Source organism: Homo sapiens, chromosome 14, assembly GCF_000001405.40.
Source record: "Homo sapiens chromosome 14, GRCh38.p14 Primary Assembly".
Taxonomy (NCBI): domain Eukaryota; kingdom Metazoa; phylum Chordata; class Mammalia; order Primates; family Hominidae; genus Homo; species Homo sapiens.
In genome coordinates this window covers 21,674,555-21,700,379 of record NC_000014.9, presented here as the reverse complement: position 1 = coordinate 21,700,379, position 25,825 = coordinate 21,674,555, and the positions used below count along the sequence as shown (strand labels likewise).

The following is a 25,825-nucleotide window of genomic DNA, read 5'->3' as shown; positions in this document are numbered from 1 at the left end:
TCTCTTCTGGGTCTAACCACCCAGTAGTGCCACTGGGCTCTGGGCTGGTACTTGGGGCAGGGGCAGGGGAGTGTCTGCACAGAGTCTTGTGATGTGAACCATTGTCTGGAGTCTCAGCCATGGATAGCAGCACCTGCTCCGGTGGAGGTAGCAGTAGGGGGGTGAAATGGACTCTGTGAGGGTCAGGCAATGAGCAGGGTCCTAGAGCTCCTGAGAGAATATGTCCTTTGTCTACAGCTACCAGGGCATGTAGAGAAAGACCATCAGGTGGGGGCAGGGTTAGGCAAGTCTGAACTCAGACTGTCCTTGCGCGAGGCTTGCTAAGGCTGCTGTGGGAGATGGGAGTGTGGTTCTGAGGGCAATGAAGTTGTGTTCCCAGGGGGATTATGGCTGCCTCTACTGGGTCATACAGGTCACCAGGGAAGTGGGGGAAAGCCAGCAGTTACTGGCCTAACCCAGCTCCCACAAAGCCCAAAAGGCTGGTCTAACTCCCAGCCTTTTGGTGCCCCCACCAACAGCACCAACTGCTTTTGGTGCCCCGCTAGCAGGACCAAGTTTATTTCCAGGCAGAGGGTGAGCAGAGCTGAGAACTTGCCCCAGGCTACCAGCCTCCTGGCTGAGAAAGCAAGCGGGGCTTTCAGGTTTCATACCTTCCCACCTGCTTAGGCTTCTGTGCTGTGTCTGTGCTCTCAATTTCTCCCTCCCCTGAGTTCTGTCTAGGAAACTTTGAGTTCAGTCAAAACTGTTACAAAGTTCAGCTGGATGTTTCCTCCTCCCTGTGGTCTTTTCCCAGTTCCTCTGGCAGCCCTCCCCAAGGACCTCTGTGGAAAAAAGTCACAAATGGCTTCCCTGGGGACTGAGATTACCCACAGGGCTCTTCCCACTGCTTCTTCCACCCCTGTATTTCGCTCGGCTCTTTAAATTTGTCTCAGCTCCAGGTAAGGTTAAACATACTATCTTTGCAACAACACTAACTGTGAGAAAATTCTATACCTATTAAACAGTCGTTCTCCACTTCTCCTCATCCCCTCGTAAACACTAGTCTACTTTCTGACTACAAATTTACCTATTCTGGATGTTCAATATAAAAAGAATCATACAACAGGTGGTATTTTATGTCTGGTTTCTTTAACTTAGCATAAAGCTTTTTTTTTTATTTATTTAGAAAGTTTTTATTTTTGAAACTTTAATGTTTGTCTAAGATTGTGCTTATCTTTTGTTTTTGAAGGTGCCCAGTTGTTGTTTAGACCATTGTTAAATAAATATGAACAAGAAACACTAGAAAATCAGAACTTATATCTTGTTGGTGCCTCCAAGATTAGAATGTTACTGGGGACAGAAGCAGTGGGATTGGTAAAAGAGTGCAATGATAACACCATGAGAGCCTCCACATACAGAACCAGGCAGAACTTCAAAGGTTTTGATGGTAAGCCCTAAGTTCTTTGTCTCTGTTAGAATCCATTTATCAAAAAGAAGTTTATGATGAATAGATCAGGGGTCAGCAAACTTTTTTCAGTAAAAGGTCAAATAGTAAATATTTTAGGTTTTGCAGTCCGTGTGGTCTCTGCTGCAGTTACTCAACACTGCCATTGTGAAGCAAAAAAGCAGCCATAGACCATAAGTAAATGAATGGGCGAGGCTGTGTTCAATAAAACTGTATTTATAAAACCATGTGGCAGGCTGGATTTGGCCTGTTGCCATCCTTTGCCTCCCCTGGATGAACACAAATTAGAGGAACACATGTAACTTACTTATATTATTCTATTCTATTTCTTCTTTTTTTTTTTTTTTTTTTTTTTTAGTATTTATTGATCATTCTTGGGTGTTTCTCGGAGAGGGGGATTTGGCAGGGTCATAGGACAATAGTGGAGGGAAGGTCAGCAGATAAACATGTGAACAAAGGTCTCTGGTTTTCCTAGGCAGAGGGCCCTGCCGCCTTCCGCAGTGTTTGTGCCCCTGGGTACTTGAGATTAGGGAGTGGTGATGACTCTTAACCAGCATGCTGCCTTCAAGCATCTGTTTAACAAAGCACATCTTGCACCGCCCTTAATCCATTTAACCCTGAGTGGACACAGCACCTGTTTCAGAGAGCACGGGGTTGGGGGCAAGGTTATAGATTAACAGCATCCCAAGGCAGAAGAATTTTTCTTAGTACAGAACAAAATGGAGTCTCCTATGTCTACTTCTTTCCACACAGACACAGGAACAATCCAATCTCTCTTTCTTTTCCCCACACTTCCCCCCTTTCTATTCGACAAAACCGCCATCGTCATCATGGCCCGTTCTCGATGAGCTGTTGGGTACACCTCCCAGACGGGGTGGCGGCCGGGCAGAGGGGCTCCTCACTTCCCAGACGGGGCGCCGGGCAGAGGCGCCCCCGCAACTCCCAGACGGGGCGGCGGCTGGGCGGGGGCTGCCCCCCACCTCCCTGACGGGGCAGCTGCCAGGCGGAGACGCTCCTCACTTCCCAGACGGGGCGGCCGGTCAGAGATGCTCCTCACCTCCCAGACGGGGTGGCGGCAGGGCAGAGACACTCCTCAGTTCCCAGACGGGGTCGCTGCACGGCAGAGGCGCTCCTCACATCCCAGACTGGGCGGCCGGGCAGAGGGGCTCCTCACATCCCAGACGATGGGCGGCCGGGCAGAGACGCTCCTCACTTCCTAGACGGGGTGGCGGCGGGGCAGAGGCTGCAATCTCGGCACTTTGGGAGGCCAAGGCAGGCGGCTGGGAGGTGGAGATTGTAGCGAGCCAAGATCACGCCACTGCACTCCAGCCTGGGCAACATTGAGCACTGAGTGAGCGAGACTCCGTCTGCAATCCCGGCACCTCGGGAGGCCGAGGCTGGCAGATCACTCGCGGTCAGGAGCTGGAGACCAGCCCGGCCAACACTGCAAAACCCCGTCTCCACGAAAAAATACAAAAACCAGTCAGGCGTGGTGGCGTGCACCTGCAATCCCAGGCACTGGGCAGGCTAAGGCAGGAGAATCAGGCAGGGAGGTTGCAGTGAGCCGAGATGGCGGCAGTACAGTCCAGCCTCCGCTCGGCATCAGAGGGAGACCGTGCAAAGGGGAGAGGGAGAGGGAGAGGGCAGCATAAAGCTTTTGAAGGTCAATCAGAACTTCATTTGTTTTTATGGCTGAATAATAACAATTTGTAGCTATATCACATTTTGTTTATTCATTCACTGATGGACATTTGGCTTGTTTCCATCTTTTGGCTGTTGTGAATAATGCTACTATAAACATTCATATATAATAATTTATTAGAATACCTTTCTTCAATTCTTTAGGTTATATATCTAGGATTGGAATTTTTAGATCATATTATAATTCTATATTTAACTTTTGAGGAATAGCCAAACTGTTTTCTACAATGGCCGCACCATTTTACATTCCCACCAGCAATTGATGAGGTTTCCAATTTCTCCACATTCTCACCAGCACTTATTTTAATTTTTTCTAAATTACAGCCATCCTAGTTGAGTGTGAAGTGGTATAATTTGTAATTTCCTGATGACTAAAAATGTTGAGTATATTTTTATATGTTTGTCAGCCATTTGTACATCTTCTTTGTAAAAATGTCTATTCAAGTCTTTTGCCAATTTTTAATCAGGTTGTTTGTCTATTTGGGGTTGGGCTGTAAGAGTGCTTTATTCTAGATACTAGACCCTTATCAGATAAATTATTCATAAATATTTTCTCCCATCCTTTAGATTTGCTTCTTACTTTCTTGATATGTCCTTTTACAAACAAATGTTATTAATTTTGAAGAAGTCCAATGTATCTACTTTACCTTGTATTGCTTGTGTTTTGGGTGCCATTTCTAGGAATCTAGTGCCAAGTCCAAGGTCATAAAGATTTACTCTTGTGTTTTCTTCTAAGAGTTTTATAGTTTAGTTTCTAATTTAGATATTTGATCCACTTTGAGTTAATTTTTTCATATGGTATGAGATAGAGGTCTAACTTCATTCTTTTGCATATGGATATCCAGTTGCCCCAGCACCATTTGTCAAGTAGATCATTCTGTCCTCCATTGAAATGTCTTGGCACCTTTGTTGAAAATTAACTGGACTCTCAATCTATTCTATTGAGCTTGTTTCTTGGGCTTATCATTATTGGGTTTATTTCTGGGCTCTCAGTCTATTTTATTGATCTGTATGTCTATCCTTATGCCATTAGCATAATGCCTTTGTTACCACAGCTTGTAGTAAGTTTTGAAATATAAAAATGTGAGTCTTCCCACCTTATTTTTCTTTTTCAAGATTATTTTGGCCATTCTGGATCCCTTGCAATTCCATGTGAATTTTAAAATCAGCTTTTCAGTTTCTGCAAAACAAACAAACAAAAAAAAAAAACAGGGTATTAGGATTTTGGTAGAAATTGCATTGAGTCTGTCAACCATTTGGAGTAGTTTGCTATTTTAACAATATTAAGTCTTCCAATGCATGAACACAGAATGTCTTTACAGTTATTAAGGCCTTCTTTAATTTCTTTCAGCAATGTTTTATAGTTTGTGGTGTACAAATTTTATACCTCCTTGATTAAATATACTCCTAAGTATTTTGTATTCTATTGTAAATAAAATTGTTTTCTTATTTCATTTTCAGATTGTAGTGTTTTATATAAATCCTCTGTTGCTTTTTAAATAATATTTCTCTTTAAATTAAGTGATTTCTTCTTGGTTAAGTTATTTTTAGGAAGATAGTGTGCATAAGGCTTCAGAAGAATGTTCTAGGCCAATAAGGATACCCTCTAGCTCACAGTGAAGCCCTACATAGTACATATTTTGTGTCTGTGAGATTGCAAGGTGATTTGACCTTCTCTCTTCATTGGTTAACAAAGGTAAATAGCTGTAGAGTTGCTTGTCATACACAGATTCTTCTTCATAATTAGCGTTGTTCCAAAGATAGTATGTTTAAGGTTTCCTCATTCAACCTTGCCTCTTCTGTTACACTGTAACAGCAAGGAGGTTACAGAGACTTACAGCCTTTCATGATTATGTTCCAAAGTACAGCTACCCATTGGCCCCTATGGAGAAATCTATGCTGTGCTGACTCTGTCCAAACTCTATAATGTAGTCATCCTCTCCTGGCATCTTCCTTTACCCTGATCTAATTTCAGATACACTCATTAGCTCTTCTAATTAGTGTATTTTCACACTTAAAGTGTTGCCTTTTAATTTAAAAAGATGATGTTTCTCCCTTTCTCATTCATTTTCCTTATTGTCTTCAGTTTATTTTAGAGATAGGGCAATAATGGGCAGTTAAGTCTTTATTCTGCATCTTCCATTTCTAGTTTTTCAAACCTAATCCCTGTTGAATCCTTAATATGTGCTATGGCATATTTTATGTGCGTTATCTATTAATTATCTATTAATCCTAATTACCACTCCGATGATATAGACATTATTATTACACCCAACTTATAGATGAGGAAACTAAAGCTGAAAGGCATTAAGTTATTTGCTTAAAGTAACACTGATAACAAATGCTGGAATGAGGGCTTAGACCCAAATATATTTGACTCCAAAGCTACTTTCATTTAACCTACCATACATGTCATTAACAAGTTCTTTCCTATCAATCAGAATTAAATCCAGAGTAACAGTATTCTTCCTGGTCTCCATTACATTCTTTTCCATAAAACTGTCAGTGAGTCAAAATTTATTAAATGTTTCATCAATCAAGATTGTTTCAATTGCAAGAAACAAAAATTTCAACTCAAGCTGAAGGGGATTTATTGGCTCATAAAACTAGAATGCCCAGAGAGAAAATAGGGCTTCAGGCATGGCTTAATGCAATATATCTCAATGACTCTATTGAGATATGGGTTACAGTCCAATGACTTTATTGAGATATGGGTTAGGGAATGGGACCAATCAATCAATCCATTCCTCTCAAGCTTCATGATGCAACACAATAGAGAGGAGTGACTGGAATCTGGGGAGGCAGACATTGTTGCCCATGCATATCCATGACTAGCAGAATAAGACTCTTACTGGATAACTTCATTGTTACCAAAACAAACACTTCATAGTGTCTTACACCTTACAAAGGCTTTTCACATACATTTCATTACTTTGAATAATTAAAATAAGTTTGATTAATTCTCATTTTGTCAGTAATGAAAAGGATAAAATGCAAATACTAGAACTCAAGCTCAGGTATGCTAAGACTGGGGCCCATGCCTCCAAAGCAACAGATAGCTTTATGAAATTAATACCACACCATCATGACCACCTTGCCTCTTTACCTGTTTTGTCATTCTGATTAAGCAACCTGTAGTATTTATTAAGAAAAAATGTTTATTTTGCTCTAAAGAAATCTCATCCAAATTCACTCCCATACACTTCAACTCTTAACTTTATGGGTTTCCATACACTTACATACTTCTTAACATGCAGTTCTAGCCCTCCCCTCCCACACCTTCATTTAGATGTATCTTATGAACAAGGTAAACCTTCTGTTCTAATCCTGAATCTCATCCTGCCAAGACTTGGTGGAAAATAAAGCAGGTTTAACAATAACCATTACTTTTTCAAATTGTCTTTCTTTGCTATTGATAAACTATATACTGCTGTATAGAAATTGGGAATTTAAAAAAAAAAATTCCAGCATCTCCCTTTTATTTTACTGGCACATTGTAAACATGCGATAAATATTAGTTCCCTCTTTTCCTCTTAACCCTATTGGAAAGCCACCAACCACTTTTGTTCATCTCTTTCTCTTGAGTTTATAACAAAACAAAACCATAAATATACATGATTGGCTTTTGAAGCACAGGAATTGCCCTTCTTTTCAGAATATTCACCTGTTCCTTACAACTGGAGCCTTTTGTGCACTCATATAATGGTTTGGTCTAAATAGCCTGAATAATTTATTCTAGCCATCCAAATAATATTTGAATTCTTATTTCAAACAAATGATAGTCCAGGCTTTGATTGAAATTTTTACTAGTCTTCCTTATTTCTTTTTTTTTTTTTTTTTTGAGACAGAATCTGCCTCTTGTTGTCCAGGCCGGAGTGCAATGGCACGATATCGGCTCACTGCAACCTCCGCCTCCCAGGTTCAAGCGATTCTCCTGCCTCAGCCTCCCGACTAGTTAGGATTACAGGCATGCGCCACCATGCCCGGCTAATTTTGTATTTTTAGTAGGGATGGGGTTTCTCCATGTTGGTCAGGCTGGTCTCGAACTCCTGACCTCAGGTGATCCGCTCACCTCGGCTTCCCAAAGTGCTAGGATTACAGGCGTGAGCCACCATGCCCGACCCTATTCTTCCTCATTTCTAATGAAGAAATTGTTCCATCCTTGAATACCTCTAACTAGTAAAAAAAAAAAAAAAAATTATATTGTTTTAAAACTTTAGCTTCTAGTCCCATTATCTTTTCTTATTGGAGATTATTATAGTCTTATTCCTGTTTCACATAAGAGACTCCTTATAGGAGGCAGCTAATTGGTTCTTCTCCATCTAAAACTCTTCTTTTCCAGTTAAAGGCAGAATATTTTTATTTAGGCCCAAAGAGTGATACAACTATCTGAAAACAAAAAAAAAAACAACCTTGCTTCCAGTTTTCTAAATCCACAAACCCCTTTTTCCTTTTGTTTATGAGAGGGCTGGACAAGCACTAGGAATACTGACTCAAATATAGAGGAATCCTCAGAAGTTTATTGCTAATTTCAGTCTTTTTTATGGTACAATAGTCAAGATACATCACCTTGCCTAAAACCTATATCAGCAATGAGAGTCTTCAGTTAATTTAGTTCTAGGATTTACACCGACCTTAATGATTCCTTACACTTTACAGACCCTGCAAATGACAAAAATCCCTCAAGCTTCTTAGCTATTAGCCAAACTTCTTATGAATTATTGTTTCTTTGCCCTTACACGTCACTGTCCATTACTTTAACACTTACACATCACTGTCTATTACTTTAACGCTCTAACCCCAGTCACCTTCCTTACATGACCCAAAGGAAAAGCCCATGACTGCTTACTTAAATTAGACAACAGCTCATACCTTGCACAGACCTAGAGACTCCCTTAAATATTCTTGATTCAATATTACATAATAGTTTATTATTTTTTAAAAACTGAAAATTGCAAAGAAGGTTATGCTATCTCAAGAGCTTTAATTCAAGAGCTTGAATTTACTCTTGAAAATTAAGCTTCTCCCAGAAACTAAATCAGCTTGGAGAGTTAAATTCATTGCCCTTGCCTGGACCTGCCAGAGGAAAAACAGTAAAGAAACAAACATTTATATTGATAGTAGATATAATTTTGAGTTAGTCTATTATTTTAAAATGCTTTGAAAACAAGCAAATTTCCTCATCTCTTTAGGAATCCCTATAAAATGAAAGGAGAATTAATAAACTTTTAGACAATTTGATATTACCTAAGGATATAGCCATAATAAAAGTGCATTTAACAAAAATGCTTCACAATATTATCCAAAATAATAAAGATGCATTGACAATAATATTTAACCAACATGGTGGAACAATTTTAGGAATATTGCCAAAGACATTTTCTATGCATGCCCTACTTTCTGATGAGATTATTCTGGGAGGATTGCAAAAGTAGGATATTGATAGGAACCAAAGGCTCAAGGCCACTTTGATCACCTCTGAATGGATTTTATATAAATGCCCCAGCAATGGACTATAAATATGTTCTGGTTATTATTTACTCTTGTGATGAGTTGATGCTTGTCCTTGACAAAGAGCTATGGCCCAGTTGTGACCAGAATGTTTAATTTCTTTTTCTCCAATATGGGAAATTTTAACTTATCTTTCTAGTAATAGGGGCATATAATTCACTTATACTATTACCAAATAACTCTGTAAACCTGTATCTTTTACTTAAGACTTCACTATCTTTACCGTCTACAAACATCAAGAAAAGTAAAAAGAACTAATGAAATTCTAAAACTAAAATTGGCATAGTTCTCAAAAGTACTCAGACTTCTATTAGCCTTCATGACAATGAGATCTACCTTCTCTGGGACCCACAGGTGATCTCCGTATGAGCTAATAATAAGCTACCCAGTTCATTTGAAAATTTTACTTCTAAACCTAGATTATGCCATACTACAGGTTAATGTGACCAAATATCACATGAGACACATATGATGCTGCCAGCTTTAACACAAACAGGTTCAAACTACATTTTTAAAACACCCACTGTCTGATCTGAAATAGGGAGATCTAGTCTTCTAGAAAATACGTCAGAGAGAAACAGCCCTTCAGCCCCAGTGAAAAGAACCTTGGCAGGGATTATTAACAACTGACACAACAGTAAAACTTCAAGGTGTTGGTCGTTGGAGTCACGCTTTTTTATTTTTTACTTTTATTTTAGATTCAGGGGTGCATGTGCAGCTTTATTACAAGGGCATATTCCACGATGCTGGGGTTTGGGCTTCTATTGATGTCATCATTCAGATAGTGAACATAGTATCCAACAGGAAGTTTTTTTTTCAGCCCTTTCCCCCTTTCCTCCCTCCTGACTTTTGGATTCCCCAGTATTTGTTGTTCTCATCTTCTGTGAGTACTCAAGGTTTAACTCCCACTTATAAGTGAGAACATGCAGTATTTGGTTTTTTGTTTCTGTGTTAATTCGCTTAAAATAATGGCCTCCATCTTCATCCTTCGTTGCTGCAAAGGATATAATTTTATGCTATTTTATGGCTATGTAGTATTCCATTGTATCTATGTACCACATTTTCTCTATCCAGCACACAATTGTTGGACACCTAGGTTGATTCCATGTCTTTGCTATTTTGAATATGCTGCGATAAACACGCAAGTGCAGGTGTCCTTTGGTAAAATGATTTATTTTTCTTTGGGTGTGTATATACCCAGTAATGGGAGTTAGGCTTTCTAACTAAAAAGATACATCTATTTCTTACAAAGCCTGGAAATCCATGCACTTGGAAGACCCCGAGTTAAGGATTCTTAAAAATTCTCTACAAGCTGATGACTACAGAAGTGGATAGCTTTCACCCAAGACCACAAAACAAGATTAATTTTCTGATTTCTCAGCCCTCTTTCTTTCATTTTGATCTGCCACTAATCTAACCTCCTTTATTACCTAACTAAAAGATGCATCAAGATAATCTTCCCTATCTTCATCCTGCTGGTTTTGGAAAAAGCCTAGTATCTGGGCACCGTTCCTAACTGCACGGTCCCTCACGGCTTCCCTTGGCTAGGGGAGGGAGTTCCCCGACCCCTTACGCTTCCCGGGTGACACACCCCACCCTGCTTCAGCTTGCCCTCTGTGGGCTGCCCCCACTGTCTAACCAGTCCCAAGGAGATGAGCTGGGTACCTCAGCTGGAAATGCAGAAATCACTCGCCTTCTGCGTTGATCTCGCTAGGTATTGATGGAACGTACCTCAAAATAATAAGAGCTCTTTATGACAAACCCACAGCCAATATCATACTGAATAGGCAAAAACTGGAAACATTCCCTTTGAAAACCGGCACAAGACAGGGATGCCCTCTCTCACCACTCCTGTTCAACATAGTATTGGAAGTTCTGGCCAGGGAAATCAGGCAAGAGAAAGAAATAAAGGGTATTCAAATAGGAAGAGAGGAAGTCAAATTGTCTCTGTTTGCAGATGACATGATTTTATATTTAGAAAACCCCATCGTCTCAGCCCAAAATCTCCTTAAGCTGAGAAGCAACTTCAGCAAAGTCTCAGGATACAAAATCAAGGTGCAAAAATCACAAGCATTCCTATACACTAATAATAGCCAAATCATGAGTGAACTCCTATTCACAACTGCTACAAAGAGAATGAAATACCTAAGAACACAACTTACAAGGGACGTGAAGGACCTCTTCAAGGAGAACTACAAACCACTGCTCAAGGAAATAAGAGAGGACACAAACAAATGGAAAAACATTTCATGTTCATGGATAGGAAGAATCAATATAGTGAAAATGGCCATACTGCCCAAAGTAATTTATAGATTCAATGCTATCCTCATCAAGCTATCACTGACTTTCTTCACAGAATTAGAAAAAACTACTTTAAATTTCATATGGAACCAAAAAAAGAACCTCTATAGCCAAGACAATCCTAAGCAAAAAGAACAAAGCTGGAGGCATCATGCTACCTGATTTCAAATTATACTACAAGGCTACAGTAACCAAAACAGCATGGTACTGGCACCAAAACAGATATATAGACCAATGGAACAGAACAGAGGCCTCAGAAATAACACCACACATCTACAACCATCTGATCTTTAACAAATCTGACAAAAAACAAGCAATGGAGAAAGGACTCCCTGTTTAATAAATGATGTTGGGAAAACTGGCTAGCTATATACGGAAAAGTAAAACTGGACCCCTTCCTTACATCTTATACAAAAATTAACTCAAGATGGATTAAAGACTTAAACGTAAGACCTAAAAACATAAAAACCCTAGAAGAAAACCTGGGCAATACCATTCAAGACATAGGCATGGACAAAGACTTCATGACTAAAACACCAAAAGCAATGGCAACAAAAGGCAAAATTGACAAATAGGATTTAATTAAACTAAAGAGCTTCTGCGCCACTAAAGAAACTATCATCAGAGTGAACAGGCAACCTACAGAATGGGAGAAAATTTTTGCAATCTATCCGTCTGACAAAGGGCTAATAAATCTACAAAGAACTTCAACAAATTTACAAGAAAAAAAAACAATCCCATCAAAAAGCAGGCAAAGAATATGAACAGACACTTCTCAAAAGAAGACATTTATGTAGCCAAGAAACATATGAAAAAAACCTCATCATCACTGGTCATTAGGGTAATGCAAATCAAAACTAAAATGAGATACCATCTCACGCCAGTTAGAATGACAACCATTAAAAAGTCAGGAAACAACAGATGCTGGAGAGGATGTGGAGAAACAGAAATGCTTTTACACTGTTGGTGGGAGCGTAAATTAGTTCAACCATTGTGGAAGACAGTGTGGCAATTCATCAAGGATCTAGCACCAGAAATACCATTTGACCCAGCAATCCCATTACTGGGTATATACCCAAAGGATTATAAATCATTCTACTATAAAGACACATGCACACATATGTTTATTGCAGCACTGGTCAATAGCAAAGACTTGGAACCAACCCAAATGCCCATCAGTGATAAACTGGATAAGGAAAATGTGGTACATATACACCATGGAATACTATGCAGCCATAAAAAAGGACGAGTTAATGTGCTTTGCAGGGACATGGATGAAGCTGGAAACCATCATTCTCAGCAAACTAACACAGGAACAGAAACCAAACACTGCATGTTCTCACTCATAAGTGGGAGGTGAACAATGAAAACACATGGACACAGCGGGGGGAACATCACACACTGGGGCCTCTCAGGGGTTGGCGGTTTAGGGAAGGGATAGCATTAGGGGAAATACCTAATGTAGATGACGGGTTGATGGGTGCAGCAAATCACCATGGCACGTGTACACCTATGTAACAAACCTGCACGTTCTGCACATGTATCCCAGAACTTAAAGCATAATAAAAAAAAAAAAAGAAGAACTAATAACCATTGTGTTACTGGTAATTGCCTGCACTGCAGTTAATATAGCTAATGTACACTTTCCATATTCTTAAATGCTACCTCAAATTTATTGTCATGTCAAAGGGATTCAACAATTTGTTTTGCAGCAAAAAGAACAGAGAGACCAATCCTAGTCCCACTACAGACAACATTCTCTAGACAACCTCCTAACCGACATAGTTTTGACAATGATGAAAACACTGTATGGATATTATAGATTAATGTCCTGTGGCCTGTCCTAGTCTGCTTTCAGCCAAAAGAGAGGACTATGAAGGAGAAAAGCTACCCCTGATAACTAGAAAATGGCCTGGCACTATCACATAGGCCTTGGTGTGGCTAGGAGCTAGTCCAGCACTCATAGTTAGGACTTGATGATCTCCTACTAAACAGCTTCTCTGAACACCAATATCTGACAAGACTACTCAGTACCATAATGGAGCAAGACTATTCCATTTTCAAAAATAAGACTATTCCATATTCATGTCTTAACACAGACAAAAAGAAGACCATGTCCAAACCATAAAAATAACCAAATAGTTCCCTATCCCGGTTATATGAGTGATCGTTGCTTTTTTAACCCATTAAAATTTTCATTTTCTGCATTCTTACTGCCTTCTAGAGGAGAATTATCAAGATATCCAACTATAGAATTACTCTTACTTCCTAACAATAGTCATTTGAAAGAAAAGCCTGCTTCCTTGAACCTTTCCCATTATCACCTAACAAAAACCCAAACCCTATATGTTCTTTCTAAAATCCTCTTACTTACTGGAACTTCCATGGTCTCCCTCATTACAAGGAGTCAACAAACCCAACTTAGTTTGACTACAGGTTTGCTTCTAATTGTGATTGGTTGGAGGTCATTGACAGCAGAATTAGATTTGGAGTGTTCTTTTTGGCAACCTCTCTCAAAGAAGTCCTCTCTCAAGTGGTGACATTGCACCAAAGACCTGAAGAAAATGAAGCAGAGAACCAGGTACTATAAGGTGAAAAACTATTCTAGACAAAGGGAATAGTTAGTTCAAAGGTCATGCGAGGAGAGGATGTTTAGTGTGCTCAAGAAACACAAGGAATTCAGTGTGGTTAGAGTTTAATGAACAAGAAAGGATAGAGGGAAGTGATTACTTTTGAGTACAAACAGACACATGATTCATTCTGAAGAATGAATCAGATTGCTGATTGGAGAGCAGGATCTAAGAGGAAGGCAAGAGTTGAAATAGAGAAATAGATAAGAAGCTGTTGCAGTAGTCAAAGTGCGATAATGGTGCCTTTGATTATGGCTGAGAAGTGGTGAGGTTCAGAATATACTTTAAGTGCAGAGCTATTTGTATTTGCTGATGAATGGCTGACTGTGGGATACCAGAGAGAAGATAAAGATGAATTCAGAATGTCTTGTTTAGTAGTTGGATGAATGGTAATGCTGTTACAAAAATGGGGAGGACAATGGAGTTATCACTTTCAGATAGCATGCAAAGAAGAGTTTTGTTTTAGATTGCTTTTAAACTTTGGATACTCTTTAGAAATCCAAGTAGAGACGTTAAGTAGGCCACAAAAGAATATACAAAACTATGGCTCAGAGAAGTTAGGGCTATAGATAAAAATTCCGGCGATCAGCACAAAGATGGCATTAAAATAATTAGCTTGGATGGGTTCACTTAGAAAGCATAAACAGAGAAAAGAAAAATCTGAGGACTGATCCTTGAGGCATTTCATTTAGAGGTCATGAAGAGAAAGAGGGTACTATAAAGGAGAGTTTAAGGGAGCAACCAGGAAATTGGGGCAGGGGGAATAGGAGAGTGAAGTGTCCTCTTTCAAAAAAGAGAAAGAGCCAGGCATGGTGGCTATCTCCAGTAGTCCCTAGTGCGACCCTTATCTCTACAAAAAAAAAATTAATCAGCTGGGCGTGGTCATGCACAACTATAGTCCTACCTTCTAGAGAGGCAAAGGCAGCACACCACTCCAGCTTAGGCAATAGAGCAAGACCCTGACTCTAAAAAAAATCTGTTCTCTTTTTTTTTGAGACAGAGTCTCACTCTGTCACCCCAGCTGGAGTGCAATGGCACTAGCTCGGCTCACTGCAACCTCTGCCTCCCGGGTTCAAGCGATTCTCCTGCCTCAGCCTCCCAAGTAGCTAGGACTACAGGCATGCACCACTATGCCTGGCTAATTTTTGTATTTTTAGTAGATACAGGGTTTTGCCATGTTGGCCAGGCTGTTCTCGAACTCCTGACCTCAGGTGATCCACCTGCCTCTGCCTCCCAAAGTGCTGGGATTACAGGCATGAGCCACCACACCCAGCCTAAAAAAAAAAAAAATTTTTTTAATTTAATTTAAAAAATAAAAATTTAAACAAAAAAAAAGTTGACCATGTTAAATGATGCTGAAAGGTCAAATGAGACAAGGACCAAGAACTGCCCATTGAATTTGGAAGTATGGATGTCACTGGTGATCTAGGTGAGAACTATTCTAGCGGAGTCATTGAGACACAAAGTCAGATCAGAGTAGGTTCAATAAACAAATGGTAGCAGATGAAGTGGAAACTATTAGTATAGGTAATTCTGTCAAGGAATGCAGCTATAAAGAAAAGCAGAGAAAATAGGTGGCCCGTTGAAGAAAAATGTGATGTCAAGGAATTTTTTTTAATATTGAAATTATTACAGCATATTTGTGTGCTGATGGGAATGCTTCAACAGTGACCGAAATGTGATGATGCTAGAGACACAGTTGCTCGAGCAAAGTCCTTGAGAGGCAAGAAAGGCTGGGATCCCGGGTACAAATGGAGGGGTTGGCCTTAGATAGAGCAGAATGCCCATTATAAGAATAGGCAGAGTTTGCAGTTTCAGATGCAGACTGGTGGATGTAGTTAGCAGTGGGATGGGGTAAAACTTCTCTTCTGATTACTTTTTTTATTAAAATAGTAAGCGGTTCTTTAGCTGAATCTAAAAGTTAGAAGGATTTGCTAAAGATTTGAGTAAACTCTGTATAAAACAATTACCACGGAGAGTAAAAATGTAAATTGACTACAGAAAATGCAGAACTGCCTATTTGAGGTTGTGGTCACAATTGTAAGACCTTCTATCTTGTTGTGTGTTTTCCTTCATCAGCTCAGGCATACCCCAAAAATGGGCATTGCATTGAACATAATTCCTGGAAAAACCTCCAGTGGATGGGGCAGATGAACAAATGAGTAGAAGGTGTATGCAAAGGTATTATTATAAACTTACACCTTGGAGTTTAAGTTGGATAAGGAAGGAGTAACAATCTGAGAGGAATAAAGGATAGTGAGAGGATGATAGGATCAATGGATTGGTGTTTCTGGCAGGTTTGAAAAAATGTATAATTGGGAGTACTAGAAGGAATGAACAGGAAAGGTTAAAAGTTGGTGATCAGAAAGTAGAATACTTGAAACAGCATGGATGGGTTGCTGTTATTGATACTGAAAATTCAGGAGCATGTTCATGGGAATGGCTGAGTTAGGGTTGGAGGGTGAAATTACTGTAGAAGAGGCTAAATAACTGAGGCCAAAGTATTGAATGGTCATCTGTGCAGATGATTATAATTGGCAAAATATTTGAGGAGGGAGGGTGAGTGGCTGAGAGGATCATTGAAGATAAAACAAGAAAGGGTTGCAGTTGGAACAGTCTGTTAAAATTTTCTTCGAAGCATAGAAATTTCTACAAAGGAAGAAAGAGAAATTATCTGAATCAGCATGGTTTTGAAAAAACAAAAATGGCACTTACCAAAACTTGAGACCCAGCATAGCAGAAAAACCCTGCACTGCTTAACAGGACTGCAGTAATATAAAGGTAATGTGCAAAAAAAAAAAAAAAACAGTGGAGGTCATAAGGGATTCTGCTTGCAAAATGCTAGCCAGAGTACATAATGAAGAGTGTGTGCAGGGTCTGAAAAGGATAAAAGTTAGACTACAGAAAGTACCAAGCTTTATGGACATAAGAGTCCATAAGGGTGATCTGAAGGTTCAAAGATGTTGTGAACACTGGAATAAACAGGCATACATAGCTTGAGGGAATTAACCTGATTGGTCTCTTTTGAAAGCAGGTGGGTAGGTGATGAGATCTAATTGTAGCTTCCTCTTAAGGTCTGGTTTCAGCAGTTTATTGTGAAAAACAGAATGATGGTCCCACCAGGGGCATGCAAGCTCTGTTGATTTCTTACCTTCTTCTGTGGGGGATGGAAGGGCTCAGACGGAAGGTCACAACACATTTAATTCATATTGCGTTTACAGATATCACCCCAAAGTTTTTTTCAAGGGGTTTCCTTCAACTCCTAAAATAAATGTCATCTTAATTCACTGTGTTATAAATTCCTCATAGGAAAGGATCATTACTCTTATGAGCCTTTTTATCTCATACTACAGTAAGTATGATATTGTACACATCCTAGGTTATTGGCTGCTGATTGATTACTTTTAGTAGTGAGTCAGTGACCTTTCAGCAGTGAAGACCATATCACTGATCTTTTGGAATGGAAAGAGTAGAATGGGAAGAAGGAAAATGTCAGTTAATAATTAAAAAACTGCTCTCTCTCCTACACCAATGAAAAATTTCTATATGATTTAACAAGCAATTCTTTTAAGTGTGCATCTTCCATAGAAGGTGAGGTTAACCAATCATTCATATCTTGAAGCTATTTCTCCTTTATAATATGCAGCATCCAAGTGAAGTAATGGAGTAAACACTGGACTTGGCACCAGAAGACTGAGTTTAAGCCCTGGTTCGGGAGCTAACCTGGCATGTAAACTCTGTGAAAATCACTTAACACCAATCCAATTTTTCCATAGTGCTCCCTACCTCACAGGAGTGTTATAAAAAGCAAATAAAATAATGAGTGAGAAGGAGCTTTGTAAACTCTAAAGTGCTATGCAAGTGTAAACCACTGTTTTCATTTATTCTGTGGAATACATTTTGGAATAAGAGGGACATACTTTCAGGGAGGAAAAGCCTTAGTGGGACACCTCAGAGGCCATCTGTGTATAGTCAGAAAAAAGTCATGGGCCAAGGAGAAAGGCCACCAAGGGCTTGGGGGAAAGCAGGGAACTGTGATATAAGACAGTCAAAGATTAATTCTCAATCTTGCATTTTACTAAAAAAGTGGTGAGAGTAATTGCCTTACGATCAACTGAATATCATTTTCTGTATTGCCCTTGATATATCATGCCTATGATAAAGTACTTCTATTCCAAAAGTACAGAGGTGTTAAAAGAAAAATTTCAGCCAAAGGAGTTTAATTGAGAAATGAGTGATTCACAAATTGGGCAGCCCCCAGAATCACAGCAGATTCAGACAGACTCCAGTGCAGCCTTGTGGTGGAAGAAGATTTATAGATGAAAAAAAAAAAGAAAATGAAGTACATAAGTCAGGAGTGAGGTATAGAAACAGTTAGATTGGTTACAGGTTGGCATTTGCCTTATTTGAACAGAGTTTGAACACTTTGCAGTCTTTGAGTGGTTGAAGTATGGCCACTGGGATTGGCCAAGACTCAGCTATTGTTACAGGCACATACTCCTAAGCAAGGTTTTCAATTAAGCTAGGTTACAGTTCATCCACAAAACTCAAATATAGAAGTATGTAGTCTTTCTCAGGCTATATTTAGCTTGCTTTAACAATTCCCCACTTTTGGTCATTTTCTCAATTTTGAGAGATTGACCAAAACTTTAGTCATTAATGTCATGATCACCATCATAAATGTACTTATTTGGTCTTCAAACCCGCTGGGAAACAGTAGAAGAATGAGTTTTCCAAGGAGAGAATAAGGACTGAGTGGGTACCTCCCTATGCTGAAATATTCTGTTTTCAGGAGAAAAACAAAACCTGGTCTGTTCTAGAATTTATGTGTTTCCTTAAAGTCTTAGTTTCATTACGTCAAATTTAGCATAAGCAACTCCGTTTTGGTTTGGTTTGGTCTGTTGGGGTCTAGTGCATGATCTTAGTCCAATACAATGGCCTCCCATAATTTTGTTCTAAAAAATTCCCCCTTTTTGGCCAGGTTCTCACTTAGGTGAGAGCGTAACCAAACTTAAGGCCTTAGTGCCACTCTCAGTTACCATCATTTTGGGTTTCTGGTATCAGCATGTCCTTCATAGTTTACGGTGTCCTCATGGTCACATGTTTACTTCAGCTTTTGTCATTCCAGTTGAAGAGAGACCATTTGACATTCTAGAGATGGCTGCATGCAAACATTTAAAACCTTCAAGAGAATATAGTGCACCAGAGAGACTACTGTGGTAACTATTGGGAGGATAATACCAAGAGTTTGGAGTATGCTCCTTACCCAGGTTCCCCATAAACCAAACCACCTAAAATCAAATAGATCAAAGAATGAGCTAGATAAAGAGTCCACTTGCTTAACTAAGTGATCTTTTTGTTAATCCCCTACAACTGAATCTCTATAATACCCAATGTATTTCTTCCTAGGCCACAAGTGCTAGCACTGCACAGATTCTTCTCTGTTTAGCCAATTCTACTGTTTAGCATAACTGTCACAAGAGACTTTAAAGTCTGTTGTGTAAGCATAGTCTTTGCAGTAGAATCTGCTATAGTGCCTATCATGAGGGATACATTTCTAATCATTGCCTCTTTTACTTCAAACCACAGAAAAATGACCTAACAAATGATGCCTTTGGGAAGAGTGAAGACCTCCTAGCAACATTCTCTTTAGCCCACGATGTGGGTTAAGAGGAGTGAATCCATGTTCTGTTTCTGACTGATTACATGGCAATATTTCTACCTTTAAAGTTTCTCAACTACAATGGGCTTTCATTTTTTTATCTGTAAAGGTATAAGGTTATTCATGTGTAAGGCTGGCTGCAAAATCATTTATGAATAAAAGTATACCATATAAGTGCACACAACAGACCCCCTTTCCATTTCTATTGTTCACAGAGGCATAAACAAGGAAAAAGTATTCAAAGATAAGAGTCTCATAATAGTAGAAGTCTTGATCTGTGATCTTGGGAAAAGCTGTTTATATCAAGGATGGCATCTTCTTCTGGGGAGAAATTTCCCTGGTTAGCTTTACCTTAAGGGTTCCAATGGATGTACAGTTCCAAGAGTGTGGAGGGACCCTTCTCAGTTGTGAGATTACGAACCCAAAGTTCAAAGTTCCAAAGTTTTGCTATAGTGTGGATGTCAAGGACAGTCTTTCTCTGATGTTCTCAGAAGATCCAATCTTTGGGTTCTAGATTGTGTAGGGGCTGATTGTCCTCAGGGAATCATAAAAACCTTTCTTTACCAGGTGAAAATACACTGTAGCGTAATAATCTACTGTTATAACATCAGCCCTCTTGCATGGGAAAGCTTTTATACAAACAGAAAACATGCGTTGAAAATGGCAATTGAATGAAATCCCTTTATAAATGTTTAAATGGCCCATCGGGTAGCCAAGTGTACCTGAAGCTTTGGTTGTCTTCCCAAGAATATGGATTTAACAAACCAAATACTGGTTACAAACTAATTTAGCAATGTATAAGTCACCACACCAGTATGCATGTAATGTGGATAATTTTATCTTTTCCATGATGAGTCATGAAATGCAGAACCTTTAATAACAAAAGCTTTAAGGACTCAGGAAGGACAAGGCAGCCTTCCTGGTTCTCCATGAGTCCATGCTTAACACTAGACTTATGTCCTCTTGAATACCAGTTGTTTCTCTGACTTAGGTGCATAACACTGATAACTGACGGGTTGTCATAGGTAATTTCAGTTAGAGCATGGAGTTCATTCAAATTGTATGTCTCAACAATTTTAATATTGGCTGAGTTAGCATGAAAACCTGGCAAAGTATTTTCTCGGTATTTAATTAATTTTTGTTCTACTGGGGTAAGCAGTTTTATAAACCAATCAGTCTTTTTATTAAAGTTTCAGGAATTCTTACCCGGTCCAATTCTGGGGAAATTGGGGAATTTTACCCACGATGTGATTTTAAAGTTATTAGAAACCTATATTCAAGAGCACTTTTCAGGGTCCTTTCCATCCTTTCATGAATCTCCTAAAAGACATCATATTTTAGGATTTTATGTGCTTGTGAAATTTTTAGAAATTGCATCAGCATTATGCAATTACCTGTGGAAGTGACTTTAAATAGCTGTAAAGACAGAACAGACAAGGAAATGTGGTTATTTCTGTGATCTATAATAACAATAACCATAATTATGATTGATAGCATATACTCAGACATATCAGAATTTTAGAAATGCATAAAATTTTGGAATATATTATTATTATTCATGAAAATATAACCTGAAGAAGATTAAACATTGTTTTTATTTTGACGATCCCATGTAACTAAACATGTCAAATAATCCTGTTTATCTCTCTTTTAGATGCTTCAAGAGCCCTCTGTATCATCTCAAAATTAGAGGTCAGAAAAGACAATTTTGAAGCTGAAATTTGATTTTGAGAAGCCTATTAAATATGTTAAAGGTTTAAAACACTTAATATTATGAACTAGTATTCCAGATTACCATAAGTCATTCATTTAGCCAAAATGATGACTCGAAGTTTTCAAAAGACAAAAACCTTTACTCATTGATAAAGGACAGACTTAGCTTTCCAATTGGTCTGTTGTCTTTCCGTTTTTTCAGTAGTTTACTCAAAAGGCAAAGAAAAATCTTTCATTATCCTTTAATATTACATGAAAATCTTGTTCAAGAGAGAAAGCCAAATTTTACCCTTGCATTAGTATATTATTAATGTCAAACCCAATTCTTAATAAAACAAATTATATATAATTTGGATAGATTATAATCTATCTATTGTCTATTTGTCTATAGACAAATCTAACCAGTCTTCATCAGTTTGACCATAAGGTGAGATTCCGATAAACCTTTTATAACCCTTTACAAATTTTTGTTAAAGAGCAGATGAGTGCTTTAAGAAACCCCTGTTTGTGCTTTTATTTTGATGTTCAATTTACAGAAAAAACAAATAATCCCCTTTTAAATTTAGTCAATATGTTCACACACAGAATTTCTTTTACAAGATTAATTTTTACAACCCTTCTACACCTTGTTCAAGCTTTTAGCTTATTCTAACATAATTTAAAACAATCCTTTAACCCTCTAAACTAGGCAAAAATTTACATTCCCATGCCTTCTTATAATCTTTTGCCAAAAACACATTTTACTATCCTCACATACCCTGCACGTAAAACTATTTTTTTCAGTAATCTCAATCACATCTTATAATGGTAACTCAGCAACTTTTGCTTTTGGTGCACAGATTTCCTTTCACGAATCCTTTCATGACTTACACAGACTTTCATCTACAGTGTGCTTGGACTTTCTGACTTGTCCTAAACATCTCTCTTTTTAAATAACCATTATTTTACTTTAGGATAAGAATTTAACATACAGTATTCTTTCTTATATAAAAATATCTTTTCTTTATAACCTTCTTTGCATGGCTAAGGGGCATTGCTAATTCCACATGTCCCCAGGGCTTATCTAGAATCTAGTGTCTTCAAGGTAGGTAAATTGAACAATTTTCAAAAGTCAAAACAGTTCATGACCTTAAAGCATTTAATAAACCTAATATCTGACCTGCCTAATTTAGACCAAATGTCTTTATTTTACCAATAATCTTTAAAGCTGTTTTTATTTCCCAAAGATTACTAAAGTTACATGAGCTAAAAGACATTAGGATTTTTATCTTTCTTTCAAAATATTTGATTTAAGAGCTTATTTTTATGCCAATTAATTAGAGATCTTTTATATAAACATCATACACACAACACATACATAAATACACAGACAGAAGAAGATCCAGTAGTTATTAGATGTTTTATTTGCCAGTTTCTTAATTCTGGCCTTAGGGCAGAGCCCTTCAAGAAACAGGGCTAGGAAAACATGCAGTTTTTACAAAATCTAGAATCTTCAAAGGTAGCTCAAAGAAAGGAAAATTCAAGAAGGGAAGTCAGAAGTTGTTCATGGAGAGGAAGAGAATTAACAAATGATAAAGGTCACACAGATATCAACCAGAAAGTATGCATTTCCTAAGCCAGGATTGAATCCAAGCCACCACTGTGAAAGAACAAAATCTTAGCTACTGAGCTACAGCACTGGGAAGTCTCCACTGCCCATCCCAGAAGGAGTCTAGAGTAGTTAATTTTGAGCTTGCAAAGGCTTTTAACTACTCAAGATAATTTTTAGAGGTAACTATGACATGAACCCTAAAATTCCTTTTCCCTGGAAGGCAGAGAGCAAGAGAAAGTACCACCATATGGTCACAAGGTCAAGCTCCCAAAGACATAAAACAATATGGAGACCTTATCCAGTTTTTTTGTTTGTTTCAGGATCCTGCAGCAAAGTTTGTTACTGACCAGCTTGCTGGGCCATCTTGAGCAGTGGGCTTATGGGGTTTAAAGCCCATGTTCAATCCTATGGTACCCCTCTTTATGAAAGAATGATACAGAAGATGCATAAACATACCAGATTCGCTACAGCTTAAGACTAACCTCATAAATACTTTTTTCCATTAATCAAAACTTTGCAGAAGATAAACAGTGATTTTTTACCATTCATTTAACCAGTTTACACAGGGAAAGAGAGGCCAGAACTTTCCCAGTTTGCACAAGGAAAGAGAAGCACAGGGAAAGAGAGGCCAGAAACCTGACTGGTAAGAAATTCTTACACTTTTGCCAGCGTGTTAGGTTCCTGGGTTCCCCTTCCCTGAAACATACTATAGTGCCAGGGAGCCAACCACATACACAAAAAATCATGGAACCACAGGCAAAATTTTCTCACTGTTGCAGGATGCCACCCAAGGGGTTGCATAGGGTAATGAAATTAACATTTGGCATTCTGGACAGAGCAAAATACATGTGACAAAACATAGACATTAGCCACTCTGCTTAGCATGCAGTATTGAACTGGCAAGGCTCAAACTTGCCCCTGGTTGAGCCCTGTCATCTTTAATCCATTTTTAACCAAGAGGGACTTTACTGAGGGGAGGGCCTCCAATGCAATCCCATCCTTTACTCAGGTAAAATGTACCCCACTACTTACCCAAAGTCAGCCAATTGGTGCTGCAGTCTGTTTCCTTTGGATCAGGATAGTAACTAAACTAAACAGTTAGCAGATTTAATTTTGAGGAGCCCTTTTTTTGTTTTTTTTTTGTTTTTTTTTGAGACAGAGTCTTACTCTGTCGCCTGGGCTGGAGTGCAGTGGTGCGATCTCGGCTGAGGGCAAGCTCCGCCTCCCGGGTTCATGCGATTCTCCTGCCTCAGCCTCCCGAGTAGCTGGGACTACATGCGCCCGCCACTGCGCCCGGCTAATTTTTTGTATTTTTAGTAGAGACGGGGTTTCACCCTGGTCTTGATCTCCTGACCTCGTGATCCGCCCGCCTGGGCCTCCCAAAGTGCTGGGATTACAGGCCTGAGCCACGTGGAGGAGCCCTTATTTTTAAATACACTTCTATGTTGTTGTTTATTCAGAACATTCCACTGTAAATTATCTTTAGTAAGATTTCACCATTTCTCTAAGACTTTGCTGCTTCCCAGGCCTAATGTATAAGTTGGAAGGAATGTATATGTATGTATAATGTATGTATAATGTATAAGCTAGAAGGAACTCAGTTTTTCAGAAACTGAGAATCCCATTTTTACCTAAAATATTGGCGTGGCTCTAGGTTCCATTGATTAACTTAGCCAATGATCTTTCCTACCTAAGTGTGCAAGAAAAATGAAACAAAGGAGTAGAACACAAAAATCCTTGTGAATTTTTAAAAGCAAAATTTTATAACCCCTGCAATATTACCTCTTACTACCAGTTTCTTTCTGACCCAGTCAGAGGTAAGAGGCTTCTAACTGGATCCAAGCTAGTTAATTACCAGATCAAATTTGATCCTCAACCCGTCCAGTTTCTGTCATGACTTTCAAACCCAGTTTGGATCAGAAATTTGCTCAAAGAAACCTGGAGAGCTCAAAACATAAATCTGTGGAGCTCCGAAATCTGAGAGAGAACTTACCACAATCCCCAGCCATTCTGAGACATCAAAGGACACAAATACGTTCATCAGGTAACTTGCTTGTTGACTCAGCAATTTTGGAGGTTGTTAGAAGGTCTACTTCAGATCCCACTTCTGACACCATTTGTTAAAAGAAAAGCTTCAGCCAAATTAAATTTAAAGAAGTTTAATTGAGCAAAGTATCATTCGCAAATCAGGCAGCCCCCAGAATCAAAGCAAGATTCAGAGAGACTCCAGCACAGCCACATGGTGGAAGAAGATTTACAGACAAAAGAAAAGGGGAAATGAAGTACAGAAATCAGAAGTGAGGTATAGAAACAGCTGGATTGGTGCACCAGGTTGACATTTGCCTTATTTGAACACAGTTTGAACACTTAGCAGACTATGAGTGGTTGAAGTATGGCTGCTGGGATTGGCCAAAACTCAGCTACTGTTACAGGTGCATACTCCTAAGTTAGGTTTTCAATCTTGTCTGCCTATTAAGCTAGGTTACAGGTCATCCACAAGGACTCAAGTACAGAGTCCTTCTCAGGCCATATTTCATTTGTTTTAACAGATAATTAGTATGGCCAGCATATCCCTGTTCTTAATGTGTCCCCTGATTTCCAAGGCTATTACAATGACAATAGAAGTCCCACAGTGACCAAGTGGCAATATCTGTAAAGTTCTGGAAGCTACACCTTCTTCATTACAGCCAAGTCTGGACTTTGATCAGTGATAATGAATCAAACAAGAAAACTAGGGAAAAGAAGCCCAAGCCACAAGGCCTTAGGAGAAAGCATTTTCTGTAACTTCTGATATGTTCACTCTTATTACCATCTTCTCTTCTACTCACTGTCACATGGAGAGTTGGCTATAAGATTTATTTTATGCTCCATACCCTTTATTTAAGATATCCTAACCATCCCACAAAACTATTCAGTCTTGAAATTCAAACTGAAAGTATAATCTTCATACCTCTCCTTTGGAGTCTTGTTTCACCAATTTAAACCACCAAGCTCATCTATCTAAAGAGAGAAAGCAAAAAGAAAATTGGAACAAGAGGTTCTAAATTTTCACTGTTATCCAAAATAATGAAAAAATGAAGCCAAAAATGTTGACTGGTAGTGATGGTCGGCTGTTTTTTTGTTTGTTTGAATTGCATTTAACATAATTATATTAATATGCTAAGAGCTACATGCTTTACAAATATTTCAAGAGTTCTAAAAAGTTTTACTATTACTATTCAAGCTTACGGATGGGAAATCTAAGGACCAGAGAAGCTAAATAACTTGCTCCA

The 25,825-nt window shown here is 38.7% G+C and overlaps 1 gene, besides 1 other annotated feature; it reads right to left on the bottom strand.

Moving 5' to 3' along the window:
- Positions 1-25,825, bottom strand: part of TRA (T cell receptor alpha locus) — a 930,229-nt gene that overhangs the window by 851,753 nt on the left and 52,651 nt on the right.
- Positions 2,308-2,880: an enhancer, noted in NCBI's record as "H3K4me1 hESC enhancer chr14:22165724-22166296 (GRCh37/hg19 assembly coordinates)". NCBI's record gives its function as "activates a minimal SCP1, AML or CMV promoter by ChIP-STARR-seq in naive H9 embryonic stem cells {active_cell/tissue: H9 hESC(naive)}" and the evidence as "EXISTENCE:reporter gene assay evidence [ECO:0000049][PMID:30033119]".